Source organism: Homo sapiens, chromosome 18, assembly GCF_000001405.40.
Source record: "Homo sapiens chromosome 18, GRCh38.p14 Primary Assembly".
Lineage (NCBI taxonomy): Eukaryota > Metazoa > Chordata > Mammalia > Primates > Hominidae > Homo > Homo sapiens.
The window spans coordinates 6,810,492-6,827,550 of NC_000018.10; the positions used below are offsets into that span (position 1 = coordinate 6,810,492).

The 17,059-nt window shown below is 39.1% G+C and overlaps 1 protein-coding gene across 12 annotated transcripts in view; it reads left to right on the plus strand.

Moving 5' to 3' along the window:
* Positions 1-17,059, plus strand: part of ARHGAP28 (Rho GTPase activating protein 28) — a 186,001-nt gene that overhangs the window by 80,776 nt on the left and 88,166 nt on the right. For all 12 annotated transcript variants that reach the window (NM_001366230.1, XM_005258146.3, NM_001410873.1 and 9 more), the window contains one exon: positions 14,271-14,473. In NM_001366230.1, the coding sequence (NP_001353159.1) occupies positions 14,271-14,473 (203 nt within the window). The remainder of the gene's footprint in view (positions 1-14,270; positions 14,474-17,059) is intronic.

A 17,059-nucleotide genomic window follows, 5' to 3' on the forward strand; every position in this document is an offset into this window, starting at 1 on the left:
ACCATGTTGCCCAGGCTGGTCTCAAACTCTGGGATTCAAGCAATCAGCCCCCCTTGACCTTCCAATAATCCCAATCCCTGTATTGGGATTATAGGCATGGGCCCAGCCCAGTGGGTTGTTAGATGTGAGTCTGAGGGAGTAGTTAAGGATGGGGTTAAGGACTGGAAATGTATCATCGTATAGGTTAAAGCTAAACTCTAAGGTAGGAAAAGCTTTGGGGAGAGGGTGTTATATAGAGTATGAAGAGCTGTGTGCTAGAGGTGGAACTTTGTGAGGTGCCAGTAGATAAAGAAAGAGCATTCAGAAAGTAGACAGAGGAGCCTATTCAGAGAGTTTTAGAGAATCAGGAGAGAGTGTTCATTCTGCTAGGAGACAGATCTGTGTTTCTCAAAGTCTGTCTAACAAATAAGTGGCACTAGCATTACATAGTGGTCATGGGGGTGGGGTGCTAATAAAAATACATAGATTTGGGCCTCTCCCCAAATCTTCTGAATTGAAATTTCTGTGTGATTAGGGCCCAAACATCTGTGTTTTATAAAGTTCTGTAAGAAATTTTTAGCAAAATGAATACTCCTAGCCACTGCACCAGTTTCAAGAAGGAGGGCCTATCAGCTGAGTCAAATATTACAGAGTTCTAGTCCAATTGATTGTAAAAGTATCTACAGTATGTGGCCATTTGAAGGATATTCCTGGATTCTTAATCTTGCTGCTGCAACTGGGGTCACCCTTGCCAACTTTCTACAAACTTACTGATGTGTTAATATAATGTTCATTGACTAAATGAATAAAACATCTAAAATCATTGATATGAACATTATTAATAACTAATTTGGTAGACTGGAGAGAAGAAAAGGCTGAAGAAGGACAAGAATCTTCATTGAACCAGCATTGAATTTGCCGATTGTCATGCATTCACCTACCAAAGTGGGAAATAGACCTAGCCACTCTTCCTTTTCAAAGTCTGTTCACTTCTTTCAGTAAACATTTTTGAGGGTTTGCTATGTACAGGTTACCTATTATATGTCTATTAAGTACATTCAAACATATTTCTAAGTACAGTAGACCTTAACTAGTCGTGTTCACTGTGTTCAGAAGTGCAGAGGGCTGTGGGAGGGCTCTAGAAACTTTCGCTTACCTTCCTTCTAGAGTTTTTAACATTACACGTCTATTTTTTTTTCTACTACAATGTATTTAGTTTCGTGCCTCCTTTAGAGAAATACATAGTGCTGTTTTTTCTTTTTTTTAATTCTTCCTGGGATAATAAAACCAGAAAATCTTTTGTAAAAGCATATTTCTCAAAAGGTTACTCAAATAGCCATATGTAATATTCACAATCTTTCCCATTAATTATTAATTTTTGTCAATGAATTAATATCAATCCACATTTACCATTCAATTAATAAAACTTTTTTTCTCAACTATATGATTCCAAAAGTTTGGCTGGAGACAGACATTTTTCGAGAAGAATTCTATAATGGAAATAAATGGGAAACTGTGAGTCACTGAGCAGAATTCAGGGTCAATGAATACTTTTGCAGGTTGTTTTCTGACTAAGAATGCAGCCTTGCTCCAATAGCCAAACCATATTTTCCCACAGAGGCTAGTCTTTATTTAATTCATACAGAGGAGCTGTTTGGACTAGTGGGAGCCTTGGTAGAATTTTGTTTTACACCTCTACTGAAATATAGATATTCTGGTAAGCAGAATATGGGTAATTTTTGTTTTAAAGAGGGAGCTTTAGAATGGAAAATGGAAGCAAAATTAAAACCCTTTTCCAATATATCACTTGGCTAGCCATCAAAATCAAAATATTACTAGGCAGCTTCTTGTTTTAAATAATTAGAAGTAAATAAGTGAAATGCAAGATCTTATTTCTCTGTGTTTTTAAAAATTGAATGAAAGCTCAACAGATTTGCTCACAAAAGAGTCTATTCAAGGAATGGCTATCATGATGAATGCTGGCCAGTGGTAGAGTAAGGCAGTAACATTACTGGAAAATGAGCGGACAGGAAGGCTTAGGAGGGAAACCTTCCTGATTTGGGTTATTCCTCTTAGAAAGAGCTTCACCTGACTAAGATGACAGAAAATAAATTACTCTCCATCCCCATGGCATCAGCTATTGATCAGAGACATATAGCTTTTCGTCTGCTGTCAGGGATTAGATGCTGAGCTCCTTAAAGCCATTCACCTCGACTGTGGAAGAGCTTCAGAGATACTGATGACAAGAACCCCACAGTGTGAAGTGTCAGCCACTATCAAATTATTTATTTGATTCTCCTTTGACAGAACTTACAGCTCTTGTCTTTCTAACGTTCATGTTGACCATTGGCATTCAGATTACTGATCTGTGCCTTTCTTTGTCATGCAGTGAGAGGGATTTTGAGGGTCCTAATTATGACTGTTGTTTTCATGGCATTTTTAAACAGCATGAAGTGCTCTGACTGCTGGCTTTGCAGTTTTCTCAAGGAATTCATCTGATGATGAACAGTGTTTTCAGTAAACTGGAGAGGGTGAGGTAGAGAACTAATGTCAAATGCTTTCAGTTGGGTGGACGATGATTATTGTCGATGTGAATAATAAGAATGTGGATTTAGAATTTATCATATTTTAACTTGGCTATGATACTTTGGAAATGTCTCTACCTACCACAGGGAAAGCTGAGTAAAATGGAAGTCTTAGCTTCTTCTTTCTTGAATGATTTTAAAATAGAAGACACGAATTATTGATGCCATTTCAAGAAACTCCATGCATTCTAATAGGTTAACCTATGGGTAAACTTAAAATGTCATTCATGTTTAATAGTGAATAGTGCTGATACACTCCTTTTAGATCAAATATACAGCAGTTGCTTTTTAATGTGTAGTTCTCTCTCTATATATAACTTACATAGCCAGTGTATTTGGTCTGCTACACCTGCCAATTTTATTGGTTCACTTTCAGATTTTTAGAGAGCTTTACATACATTTTTAAACATCCATATATTTTATGATAATTATGCACATAGCTCTCTTTGATCTTTAATAAAACTTTTGGCTGGGGATATATTTCTCAGCATATTTTATAGTAAAAATATACTCAATTTGATAACTTATTTTGTCATATGCTTTTCAGAAATACATTAAGGGGACAAAAAGGATAATCTCTACTATAAAAGTGTGAAGCCTTATATTTTTTAAGTTAGTGAAGAATATAAAGTATAAATAGGCAGGAGACGGGTGATGGGGGAAAGAGCATGGAATTAGGCACCAGGAGACCAAATTTGTAGTTCCATTTCTCAATAATTAGCTGTGTCATTTTGGACAACTTACTGCCCCTCTGAGATTCATTTTTCGTATCTATAAAATGTGGTGATTTATTCAGGCATTTCTGAAATTCCGTCTCAATCAGAGGATCTCCCTCTCAAACAGAGGATCTCCAATCCTGGGATCCTCTGTTTCATTGGAAACCCTAGTTATGGCTTTCCAATTCAAAGCTGTTTATGTGGAACTTAGGAAGCAGCCTTCTCAAAGTCAGCCAATCACAACTGATGGAGCACAGAATGGTTATTCTCCAGGGGACCCTACAGAGTTAAAACTGTCATGGAGTGACTCTAAGTGTGGAAAAAGCATATTGTGAAAGAAGAAGAATAAGGAAGGTTGATACGCCTTCATTCAAATGGCCAACTCACCCCTCATAGAATTTAATAAGTTTGTACTTGTGTTTCACTGTGGACTTTGTACGGAATAGTTTGAAGCTGAGCTGAAGTGAGGGCCCATGAGGAGGAAAGCCAGTCCCACTCAGGGAAAGCCTGTGAAGCTGGACCAAGCTCTGTAAAGCCCATCCACCTGAGAAAGCCCACATGGGACACCAAGCAGGTAGAGAGATTGCCGGATAATACCCTTGACCTTGTGATTCTGTTCTGCTATTATTGAATTTTTGGAGCTGAAGCGAGAAAACAGACAAAGGAAACTGAAAAGCAATACGAGGATACAATCAAGCAGAATTTATACATTTCCTGACTGAAGGTTAATGACTAGGTAATAATGGCAATAAATGGAGACCAGAGATTTAGAAGAAACAGGGGCTAAATGGCTGCATTCCAGCAAATACATCACAGCATCAGAGAGGCAGGAGGGAGCTAGAAAGTCAAGGTAAATTCTTAGATGATGCTGGAATGGGGGGCTCACTTTTAATTGCTTTGAAAGCCATACATAGTAGTGCTAGCTGTAGCAGGCCCCTCAAAACTACATAATCAAAATATATACTGCAATTTGGCATTAAGCAATAGAGAGAATATGTACTTACTTTTGATATAAAAAGACAATTTTTAAAAAGATGTTTATCCAGATTACTTGGTGAAGTGTAAATTCAGAAGCACAAAACCTAGAGTTCACCAAGACTCTTAGAGTGACATGTTGCTGAATGGACAGTGGGTAGAATGTTAGTAAAGAGCCAGAAAAAGCTTCTTTTTGCTCATATTCTCTTTCATAGATTCCTTCCTGAGTAGCCCCTAATTGGATAAAAAATATGAGCCCCTGAGCAATGATTAGGTGGCACCAAACTAGTTCTCTACTCATAACCTCAATTTATCTTTGGGGATAATGTGTTAAGAGTCACTTGTGGGATTGACTGAGCGTTACCAAAATCAATATATATGTCAAGCTTATAAATTGCATATTAGTTTTAACACAGACATAACATAAAACGTTCACATTTAGTGATTTACTTTGCCTGCAAAGCAGACATTTTAGCCTGTCATTACGTGGATGATTATTAGCCGAACAGGGAGCAAGATCATTTCCTACCTCTGACTGTTAGCCTTTGCTAAAAGCAACCAGTAACCTTTCATAGAAGTGTCTTTAAATCTTTCTCAACCCATGCCCCTTTGGGAAAATTTTTGCCTTTCCTTAAGAATATTTGAAATCTCAAAGCACTTTTAATTATCAAAATTAAAAAAAATAAAAGCAGGGGTAATTCTCATACATTTTTAAATTGAGATACAATTCATATAACATAAAATCTACTCCTTTAAAGTGTACAGTTCAGTGGTTTTTAGTGTATTCACAAAGTTGGGATATCGCCACTGATTAATATTAGAACATAGATATTATCACCTATTAGCAGTCACTCTCCATCTCTCCCTCCCTCAGACAAAGATGGGGAAATTTAAGAAACAGATTATATTTCAGTTTGTCATATATAAAGCACACACATACACACACACATATATAATTTATGTACAGGCATACCTCAATATATTGTGGGTTTGGTTTTAGACCTCTGCAATAAAGCTAATGTCACAATAAAGTACATCACGTGAATTTTTGGTTTGAAGTTGTTCATTCTTCCATTGCCACCGTTCCCATTACTTGCATAGTGCTGTACTCAGAGGTTATCCATAAATGCCTACCAACTTAATTACTGATGTGTCATTGTTTTTTTTTTTTTAAAGAAAGAATCCAACCCTCCATATTCCCTGCTGCATAAGTAAAGATTTGTTTGCTGTTTTAAGCCTTCCCAATCTACAAACACATTTTTCTGTATTCTTTGCTGCCAACAGAGAGGTTCAGGCAGATCTATTTACCTGTTCATGAAAGCTTTGTTCGCTTTCTTCTTTTCCTCTAAGAGGGATGAGGCCAGCCAGGCAAGTAACAGAGAAAACTGATGAGATGGCAGGAAGATAGAAGAAGAGAGTTGGGAGCCTGAGAATGAAGGCAGAAACCCCTTCTGTGTTCTTGGTCCTGTTAGTCTGAAACTATGGCTTCTTTTTATCATTATTGCCTTTCAAGTGCTTTTTGCAGGACATCCAAGTTGAGTTGTTTATAAACATGTTAGAATCCAAAGATTACTGAGAAGCCAGAGCATAAGAAACAAGGGATTTGTCCTCTTGCTCTATCTGAACGGCCTTCTGAGGAAGCTAAAAGGGCAGACAGCTGTGGAACTGGACTGTGCCAGGGTCTATTCCAGAGAGTCAGTGGTTTCTTTTGAAAGAGTCCTGCTACAGGCTCACTGCAATCAGTATCCACGGGAATTTCTCTAGATGTCCACACTGTGCTGCCACCAGCATCATTCAACGGCAGTGACAAATAATGGAGAACTCAAGTCTTCCTCTTCTCTAGTAGAGGGAAGGCGAAATCTTTGGTTTTGGTATATTCTTCCCAAAACTCATGGAATCTGTTCAGTTTGAGAGCAACGTGAAGATATTCCCTGTACATGTAGGTGGGGATGTTTTCAGCAGGAAGTTTAACTCCGTAATGTACTGATCAAAGCCAGACCAAGACATGGGGTTAGGCTAATAATTTGGTAGCCCTTACAATTGAGAATCATTCTGTGAAGGCCAGGTGTGGTGGCTCACACCTGTAATCCCAGCACTTTGGGAGGCCAAGGCAGGAGAGTCGCTTGAGCTCAGGAGTTCAAGATTAGTCTGGGTAACATAACAAGACCTCATCTGTACTAAAAACAAAAAAAAATTAGCCAGGTGTGGTGGTGCACACCTGTAGTCCCAGCTACTTGGGAGGCTGAGGCAGGAGGATCTCTTGAGTCTGGGAGATTGAGGCTGCAAGTAGCTATGATTGCACCACTGCACTCCAGCCTGGGTGGCAGAGACCCTGTCTTAAAAAAAAAAAAAAAGTCAGGAGTTCAAGACCAGCCTGGCCAACATGGTGAAACCCCGTCTCTACTAAAAAAACAAAAATTAGCTGGGCATGGTGGTGCATGCCTATAATCCCAGCTACTCAGCAGGCTGAGGCAGGAGAATTGCTTGAACTGGGACCCAGAGACGGAGGTTTCAGTGAGCTGAGATCATGCCACTGCACTCCAGCCTGAGCTACAGAGCAAGACTCCATTCCAAAAACAAACAAACAAAAAAAAAACAAAACAAAACAAGAAGAGAGAATTGTTAGATGCCACCCACCTTCCTTACGAGGCAGGTTGTGTTGACTATAAATTGTTACTTGAATATTCCCCTTAGTGGGATACAGAGGGTGTCTCATCTCACTCTGCCCCAAATGACTTATTAGAACATTCCTTCCCATTATCAGTTAGGAATGATTTTGGCTGCAAATAACAAACACAACAAAGATGAGAGTAGGTTTTAAAAATAGGCATTTATTTTTCTCACATTTCTGGAAGTCCAGAGATAGGCAGCATCTGGTGTTATTTCTAAAACTCAGTAATATCAAGGCCAATTGCTACAATTTCTTGGCTTTTCTCTCATAATGGGCAAGGTGGCTGCTGCAGCACCAGTCATCTTGTCCACATTCCAAGGAGGGAGAATGGGAAAGAGAAAGGGATGGCACCTATATCAGGAAAACAAAGGATTTCACTGCAACCCTGGAGAAGACTTTTACTTATGTGACTTTGGCCAGAATTGTGTCAGATAGCCACTTCTGGGCCAAGGGAGTTGGGACAACAGGGTTGGGAATAGACTTGGGTCAGAGAGCAATTCTGATAAATACAGTTTTATTTATCTCATGATATCTCTAGGGACATTTTTATGTACTTGTTATATTTTAGCACCCATGATAGCCACACCCTAAATCTAGCTCTGGACATGCTATCAAATTAATTAAATTGTAGCAATCACTAACACACGGGTTGACTATGTGCCAGGCATTTTACATGTATTCACTCCTCGTAACAGCCCCTCGAAGTGCATGTGATTAATATCCCCATTTTACTGTTTAGGAAATGGAGTCACAGAGGTCCAGTAGTTTGTTCAAGATTGTAGAGCTGTAGCCCGCATTCAAACCTGTGCTAGCTGGCTTCAGAGTTTTTGTCTAAATCACCACACTATATCACTTCTCTGCTATAAAAATATTTACAGCTATAAGCAGTTACACAAATACCTGAGGGGGCTTTTGAAATTAAGAACAATTACAGGAGGGAGAGCATTTGGACCAGACGGGGAAAGGTTGAATTCCTGTCCTGGCTCCACTGACGCTAGTCATTCATTCAGCAAGTATTTCTGCGTTGTTTTCCTTTGCCACACACTGTGTTAATAAGACAAACATGGTTCCTCTATATTCTAGTGGGGAAAATAGACCCCCCCAAAACAAAGTAAGCAAATGAGTGCATGAAGTGTTTATTATTGATGAATGAGAAGCAGGGAACCCCGAGAGCTGAGACAGCGAATAACTGGAGGAATGCTACATTAGAGTGGCCTGGAAAGGGATCCCCCAAGAGGTGGCATTTACATTGCAAGCTGAATGATGAGAGGCATCTTGCTGCAGAAATTGCTTGGGGAGAAAGAAGGTTGCAGGAAGAAAGAGCAGAAAGAGTAAATTTCCTAAGGGAAGAAAGAACTTGGCTTTTTAGAGAAACTGAGGAAAGATTAGCATGCCCAGTGCTAATGCCGTGGGAGAGTGATGTAAGGTAAGACTAGCAAAGAAGTTTTGAGGACAGAAGGTGCTGAACCTTGAAGTCACAGAACAGAATTCACATTTACTTATAACTGCAAGGGGAAGCTACGTGTCCCCACTTTGCTCCCAGTAACTCTCTCCATTGCTGTGCAATGAGACGTACAATACTGGCTTTGGCTACTTCGTGGGGTGCATATAAGGATCAAATGATGTAATGCGTATGACAGTAACTCGTTATGTATAAACCTCTCCATAAAATAACAGATAATAAAGGCCCATAGAGTATTTCATAGTAAGAAGTATGTCTTTTAAAAATATTTTTTTGGAATATACTTAACAACTAAACTTGTGGTTACACAGAGCAAGCTGTGCATAAACAAATGCAACTTTTTAAAAATATCTGTTATGTTTACAATGTTTTGTGGGAGTTCTGCTACCAGTTAGGATGTAGACTAGTTTGTGACAGACTACCGTTCCCACTGTAGCAGCTAGAAAAAAAAAGGAATAAATATAAAAATCTATATTTTAAAAACTATGTTGGAGAGCTGTGGATACAAAGAAGTCTGAAGGAGCCAAGTTCCAGGGAAGAAGAACTCTTGTGACATAAGCAGAGCCAAGTGGTCATTACCTCCCTGGGCATGTCTGCTCCCTGAGTTTCTGCAGTTCTGGGCCAAAGGTCATACCTGTCTAGGTGGAGGGACTCTACCGGGATGAGGAGACACCAGTGGAGCTGTTAATGGCTGCCTGCACTAGCACAAGAGATTGGAATTTGTAGAAGCTCCAAATGCAGAGCTAGTTCTCCCCACTCAACAACTCTGCCCCTTGGGATTTTTGCTGGGAGCCCTGGCAATACAGGATTCCAGCAACACAGGGGACCAGGCTGTAAAGCAGAGAGAGATCTCTGTAGTCCCATGGTGTTTATCTCAAAACGCTTTTAGCAGGAGGGACCTATAGTACACACAGGACAGATCTCCCCCTTGAAGCATTTGAAACCAGAGATAAATGAAAACTAATGTAAATTGCAACCCAGCCCAGACCCAGCTCAACTCCTGATTGGATTGACATGCTCTGCCTCTCACTCTATCTACCAAATAGAGGAAAAGCCTTGCCCTTTCTGGGGGAAACCTTTATTTACTCCAGTTTTCTAGAGTTCTTTTAAAAAACAACATCTGCCATCTAATAAAAAGTTATGAAATATGTGAAGAAAAAGGAAAATGTGACCTATAAGCAACTGGTCGTTTTTATATCAATATTTAATCAGACATATTAACAGCATAGATACTGATGTTAAGAGATAAGATCTTTCCAATAACAATTATAATATGTTATAGAAATTAGAGGATAGATGGGCAAAAATTGATCAAAATATAGATAATGTCAACAGAGAAACTGAATCTCTAAAAAGAACTAATTGGATATTCTTGATATGAAAAAAATACAATATTGGAAGTGAAGTATTCATTGGAAGACTAAGCTGACTGAACACAGTAGAAGTGAGGAAAAATGAAGACAGTGAAATAGAAATGTTTTAACTGAAGCAGAGAGAGAGTTGGGGGAGGGAAGCAAAGCAGATTATGAAGAACATTTGGGGCAACATCAAACAGCCTGACAGTCATGTTATTGGAGTTCCAGGAGAGGAGAGAGGAAAAGTGACAGAAGAAATATTGGAAGAGAAAATGGATGTGGATATATTCCAAAATTGATGAAAGACATTAGCCCACAGATTGAAGCTCAGTAAACCTCAATCAGAATTGAGAACTACACTCAAATTGCTGAAAGCAAAAGATAAAGATAAAATCTATTATGAGCAGATAGAACAGATACTATATTTAAAAGAACATCAAAGAATTGTAACTGACTCTCATCAGAATCAATAGACTCAACAAGACAATGGAATGACTTCTTTAAAAGGATTTAAACAAAAACTGTCAGCCTAGAGTTCTATGCCCAGTAAAAAATATTTGTCAAAAATGGAAATAAATTAAAAACATATTCAGAAATAAAGCTGAGGGAATTTGTTGTCAGCAGATCCACAGTACAAGAAATGCTAAGGAATGCGAGAGAAATGCTCAAGGAAGTTCTCAAAAATGAAGAGAAAGGATCTGTTGTGGAAACACAGATATGTAGGGAGGAATGAAAAACTCTAGAAAAGATAAATTTAAAAGACCATGTATTTAGTTTTTCAAAAAACTTACTATTTTAAAGCAACAACAATAATAACTATTGGGGGATGTAAACATCTGAGGGAGCAACATAGATGACAACAGTAATATAAAGGGTAGAGGGAGAATTATATTCTGTAAGATATTTACACTGTTGTGAAGTTATAAAATACTAATTCCATGTGAATAGTAATAAAGATCTCTGGTATCTACTAAAATATAGTATAAGTTATGGCTAAAAAGACAATGGAAGAAAAAATAGAATAATAAAATCTTTTCTTAATGCCACTTTGAATTTATGATAATTATCGTACACTTGAAATTTAATTTTAAACCTTGTGGTGTTTTTCCAACAAAAGTTTCTGTGTAACACAATTGCATTCAATTTGTCATGTAATATTTTCCTGGTATTGTTTGGAAATAAAAAGGCAAAAACAGCTGATGAAGCCTAAACTCCATTTTCTCCTAATATGGTGAGGTATGAAGCTGCCCATTAAGGCTCATCAAACTGTTGGATGGGCCTGAGGGTCAAAATTACGTAATGTTTCAAGAGTGGAAATTCATGGTTCCTTCTCCACCCTGGGGTGAAGGAAAAACATTTGTATCTCTAACCAAAAATGTGAGAGCTCTTCCAAGTGCTCTTATCCCCAAAAATGCTGTCTGACTTCTTTGCCAAAAAAAAGCTGATCATTGTGATTAAAGGATTCTTTGGGTGGACTGTTTCAGAAGGAACCAGTGTGTTACTTAGCTGCTCATGACCAATAATATTTCACATCTGTCCTCCCTGTCCCCAGCAGAGTTTTATGAGGGTCTCTTCCCTGAGATTCCATTAGTAGACCCTTCGCATGAATAAGAAACTATGTACCATAATTGAAATATCATCATTAGCCCTAAATGTATCTTCCCCTTGTCTTCTGTGATTTACCTATTATTTCACAAATTTCATACTTCTTCAAATATTTTCAGTGTTTGGATATATCTGCTTGTTTGTCTAATTTCTAAGATCTGTGATAATATCCAGGTGCAGCCATTGAGGTGGTATTACCGTATTGGCTTGAAAAAAAGTGTCTGCATGTTTTTGAGTCAGGAAAACAAAGCAGTTTATAGAACAATATTGGTATGGTACAGATGGGAGGAAAAGACCTTCCATTTTTGCTTTATACAATTGTATATTAGACGTAAACACTTATACTGCATTATAATTTTTTAAATATGGTCCATGTTTACTATTAAGACTGTCTTTTTTTAATAAGTCAAGCATATTTATTTTTTGAAGGAATTAGCCGAAAAAACCTAGAACTAAGAAAAGTCTTAGATATCCATATACTTTTTCTGAGTCTGGTACATGGAGGGCAGGAGGCTGTGTGAGCAGTGGTAACTGATTTCAGTTTTAAAAGAAGTAGGTGTTTATATACTAGTACTCTATGAGTTTGTGGGTGTTTTTCAGTATTAGTCTTATTGCAAAAGGAAAAAGTCTTCAAAGCCTACAAATAATAAAATTAATAATAGCTGTCTTACTATCTTGTCAATTTCATAGGTATTTCAACTGCTAGAATGTGTCTGACTTGTTGAACTATAAAGAATTCAGCGAGAATTATCACCCGGTTATCAGACAAAACTAGCTAAAATTCTTATCACACAACACATAAAAAATAAAAGTAGATATTTTATATTTTCCTGAAATGTTTTGGTTTAAAAAATAAATTGGCTATCTTGGTGTCAGTTAATGTTCAAAAATAGAACTAGAGTCAGATACTACGAAAAGATCAATGATAAAATTCCAGAAATCTCTACTAAATTTAGATGCGATTTAGAAATCCAGGAGGATTCCTAGATGTGTACAGCATATGAGCAAATGGAAATTTTTTGGTGTTATTATGGAAACATTATTTTGCCTCTATGTACTCTCATGAATTCAGTGTGCTTTACATTAGCCATGGCTAAATTTGATAACAATCCGCTGCTGCTCAGCATGTCAACATGTAATTGTCCTAAGTCGTCATAAAACCCACAGTGGACGTTATTGTGCCATTGGTCTAGTTACCTCTTTCCACCTGGGAGCTCTTGTTTGAGTGAAACAGCTCAGACCATATATTGCTTAAGAGTTAGTCTTGGTCTTTTTGTCCAATTCCACCTGAACCCAAAGACAAGAAGGCAAGCTTGGAGAAGATTCTTTGAAAGGAGTTGCAAACCCATACCAACACGAACTCCTCATTCCTCCCTGCCCCATCCCACTCCTATCCTCTGGAAGTAGCCATTCTGCTTTCTGTCTATGAATTTGACTACTCAGCACCACAAGTAAATGGAATAATCTAGTATTCGTCTTTTTGTGAGTGGCTTTTTCACTTAGCACAATGTCCTCAGGTTTCATCCATGTTGTTTCTTGTGTCTGAATTTCCTTCCTTTATACCACATTTTGCTTGTCCATTCATCTGCTGATAGCACTTGGGTTGCTTCTAACTTTTGGCTATTGTGAATGGTCAATAGCCAAAAGCTATTAAGTGGATGCTATTAGCATGGATGGACAAATATTACTTTGAGTCCCTGCTCTCAATTCTTTTGAGTATATACCCAGAAGTGGAATTGCTGGGTCTTATGGTGGCTCTTAATTTTTTTTTTTTTTTTTTTGGCTTTAAGAACATTTTATTTAGGGACATATTTAAACCTCTTAAGCCTGTAACATATTTTCTAGTATTACCTACAATCAAAATTATATTTTTAAGCAAAACTGACTTGTTAGGAAAGCAAATTATTTTCCTTCTTTTATTTTTTTTGAAACAGTCTTGCTCTGTTGCCCAGGCTGGAGTGCAAGTGGCATGATCTCAGCTCACTGAAACTTCTGCCTTCCAGGTCAAGTGATTCTCCCATCTCAGCCTCCCAAATAGCTGGGATTACAGATGCATGTATGGTGGCTCTATTTTTAATTTTTTGAGGAACTTCCATACTGTTTTCCATAGAAAGCTGCCCCATTTTACATTCCTGCCAACAGTGCACAAGGGTTGCAGTTTCTCTACCTGTTCACCAACGCTTGTGATTATCTGTTTTTTGTTTGTTTAATAATAACCACCTAATGGTTGTGAGCAGCAACTCTTATGTCCTTCTCTGCCATCACCATAGATAGGTTACAGAAACAAACTTTTACTGTGCATATTTTGACTAGTATAAGTAACTTTGTATTTTATGAGTGTGTGAAAATGATTAAAAACATATTCATGTTAATTCCTATACGGCCACAGAGTCATTATAAAGTACAGAGAATTTTTTAGCCAGGTGTGGTGGCTCACACCTGTAATCCCAGCACTTTGGGAGGCTGAGGCAGGTGGATCACAAGGTCAGCAGTTCAAGACCAGCCTGACCAACGTGGTGAAACCCCGTCTCTACTAAAAATATAAAAATTAGCTGGGCGTGGTGGCGGGCACCTGTAATCCCAGCTACTCGGGAGGCAAAAGCAGGAGAATCGCTTGAACCCAGGAGGTGGAGGTTGCAGTGAGCCGAGATCGCGCCACCATACTCCAGCCTGGGCAACAGAGCAAGACTCTTACTCAAAAAATCATTTTAAAAAATTAAAAAATAAATAAAGTATAGAGAATTTTTTTAAAAGGGCCACCACTGAGTGGAGATTATTCCCTCAAACCTATCTCAACCATGGTTACTCCACTTCTCCATTTGATTTAAACTTAATTAATTAAACTTAATTAAATTTAATTTTGTGGCTTTATAACATAAAAATATAACCCGTTTTTATTCATAGATATTATTCTTTCCTCAGAAAATCCATTCCTCGCTGCCGAAGAATTAACAGGATGCTCTCCAATGAATCCCTCCATCCTCCTGCCTTCAGCCGTTCCAACTCAGAAGCCTCCGTAGACAGCGCCTCCATGGAGGATTTCTGGCGGGAAATAGAAAGTATTAAAGACAGCAGCATGGGAGGGCAAGAAGAGCCACCGCCAGCTGAGGTCACACCTGTGGATGGTAAGTTGCTGGATTTGTCTTCCTATGTGCTGACTGGCTTTCTTTCTCTGCCCTCTGTTACTCTGTTCATAGGCAGAAATCATCCCACCAATAGTTTAACCAATGAATCAGTAGAATCTGGCATATTGATGATCTACTCCCACTGATTGATTTATATCTACTGTACTGGCTCAGGGTGGCTTTTATCCCAGGTGACATGACCCAAGGAGGGCTGGACCTCAACAAAAATACAAATTGATGCCTTATATACTGCTACTTAGGGATGCTGTGCCTGTCTATTGGTTTGATTCATTACCATCAAGGAGATTGAGTATTCTAATTCTGACAGCTTTTACATTTGTCTACTCATTTGTTATTATTAATTAGAGTAATTAATACTTGACTATTAATTACTATTAACTAGAGAGAGAGAAATTTTAGCAGTATAATTGTGAAGAAGAAAAATTTGACCTTAAAGCATTTACTCATATTACTATATTAGATTGTCTTGTATTCCACCAAATAAAAGCCATGTTGTTGTTTTTTCCAACTTTTATTTTAGATATACAAGGGGTACATGTGCAGGTTTCTTACATGGGTATATTGCCCTCAGGTAGTGAGCATAGTACCCAGTAGGTAGTTTTTGACCCATTCCTCTTTCCCTACCTCCCCCCTCTAGTAGTCTGCAGTGTCTATTGTGCCCATGTTTATGTTTGTGGGTGCTTAGTGTTTAGTGCCCGCTTACAAGTGAGAACATGCAGTATTTGGTTTTCCCTTCCTGTGTTAATTTGTTTAGGATTATGGCCACCAGCTCCATTCTCATTGCTGCAAAGGACATGATTTCACTCTTTTTTATGGCTGCATAGTATCCCATCTTGTATATGTATCACATTTTCTTTATCCAGTCCTCCAATCATGGGTAGCTAGGTTGATTCCATATCTTTGCAATTGTGAATAGCTTGGCGATGAACATACAAGTGCATGTGTCTTTTTAGTATAATAATCTATTTTGCTTTGGGTTTATACCCAGTAATGGGATTGCTGGGTCAAATGGTAGCTCTATTTTAAGTTCTTTGAGAAATCTCCAAGCTGCTTTCCACAGTGGCTGAACTAATTTACACTCCCACCAACAACAGTACTTAAGCATTCTCTTTTGTCTGCAGCATTGCCAGTGTTTTTTTTTTTTTTTCTGTTTGTTTTTTTGACTGTTTTGATAGTAGCCATTCTGACTGGTGTGAGATGATATCTCAGTTTGGTTTTGATTTGCATTTCTCTGATAATTAGTGATGATGAGCATTTTTTCATGTATTTGTTGTCTGTTTGTATGTCTTCTTTTGAAAAGCATATGTTCATATCCTTTGCCCATTTTTTAATGGAGTTATTTGCTTTTCGCTTGTTGATTTGTTTAAACTCCTTATAGATTCTGGATATTAGACCTCTGTCAGATGCATAGTTTGTGAATATTTTCTCCCATACTCTTGGTTGTCTGTTTACTCTGTTAATGGTTTCTTTTGCTGTGTAGAAGCTCTTTAGTTTTTTTTTTTTAATTAAAATAGAGTTTATATCATTGAAGCTTATATAATTTAATTTTTAATAATGGCTGAGTTTAACAACTGGCTTGCAAAATTCCTGAGCATTTAATAATCATCTCCCACGAGCGCGTATGAGCCTGCCCCAGCACACTCTGGGTGCCACTCAAAGGAAGCCCTTCTGCTTCCACTGGGGCAAAGGATTTTGAGCTTTTTTTTTTTTTTTTTTTTTTTATTGATCATTCTTGGGTGTTTCTCACAGAGGGGGATTTGGCCGGGTCATAGGACAATAGTGGAGGGAAGGTCAGCAGATAAACAAGTGAACAAAGGTCTCTGGTTTTCCTAGGCAGAGGACCCTGCGGCCTTCCGCAGTGTTTGTGTCCCTGGGTACTTGAGATTAGGGAGTGGTGATGACTCTCAACGAGCACTCTGCCTTCAAGCATCTGTTTAACAAAGCACATCTTGCACCACCCTTAATCCATTTAACCATGAGTGGACACAACACATGTTTCAGAGAGCACAGGGTTGGGGGTAAGGTCACAGATCAACAGGATCCCAAGGCAGAAGAATTTATCTTAGTACAGAACAAAATGAAAAGTCTCCCGTGTCTACCTCTTTCTACACAGACACGGCAACCATCCGATTTCTCAGTCTCTTCCCCACCTTTCCCCGCTTTCTATTCCACAAAACCGCCATTGTCATCATGGCCTGTTCTCAATGAGCTGTTGAGTACACCTCCCAGACAGGGTGGTGGCCGGGCAGAGGGGCTCCTCACTTCCCAGTAGGGGCGGCCGGGCTGAGGCGCCCCTCACCTCCCGGACGGGGCGGCTGGCCGGGCGGGGGGCTGAACCCTCCACCTCCCTCCCGGACGGGGCGGCTGGCTGGGCGGAGGGTTGACCCCCCCACCTCCCTCCGAGATGGGGCGGCTGGCCGGGAGGGGGGTTGACCCCCCCACCTCCCTCCCGGACGGGGCGGCTGGCCGGGCAGAGGGGCTCCTCACTTCCCAGTAGGGGCGGCCGGGCAGAGGCGCCCCTCACCTCCCGGACGGGGCGGCTGACCGGGCGGGGGGCTGACCCCC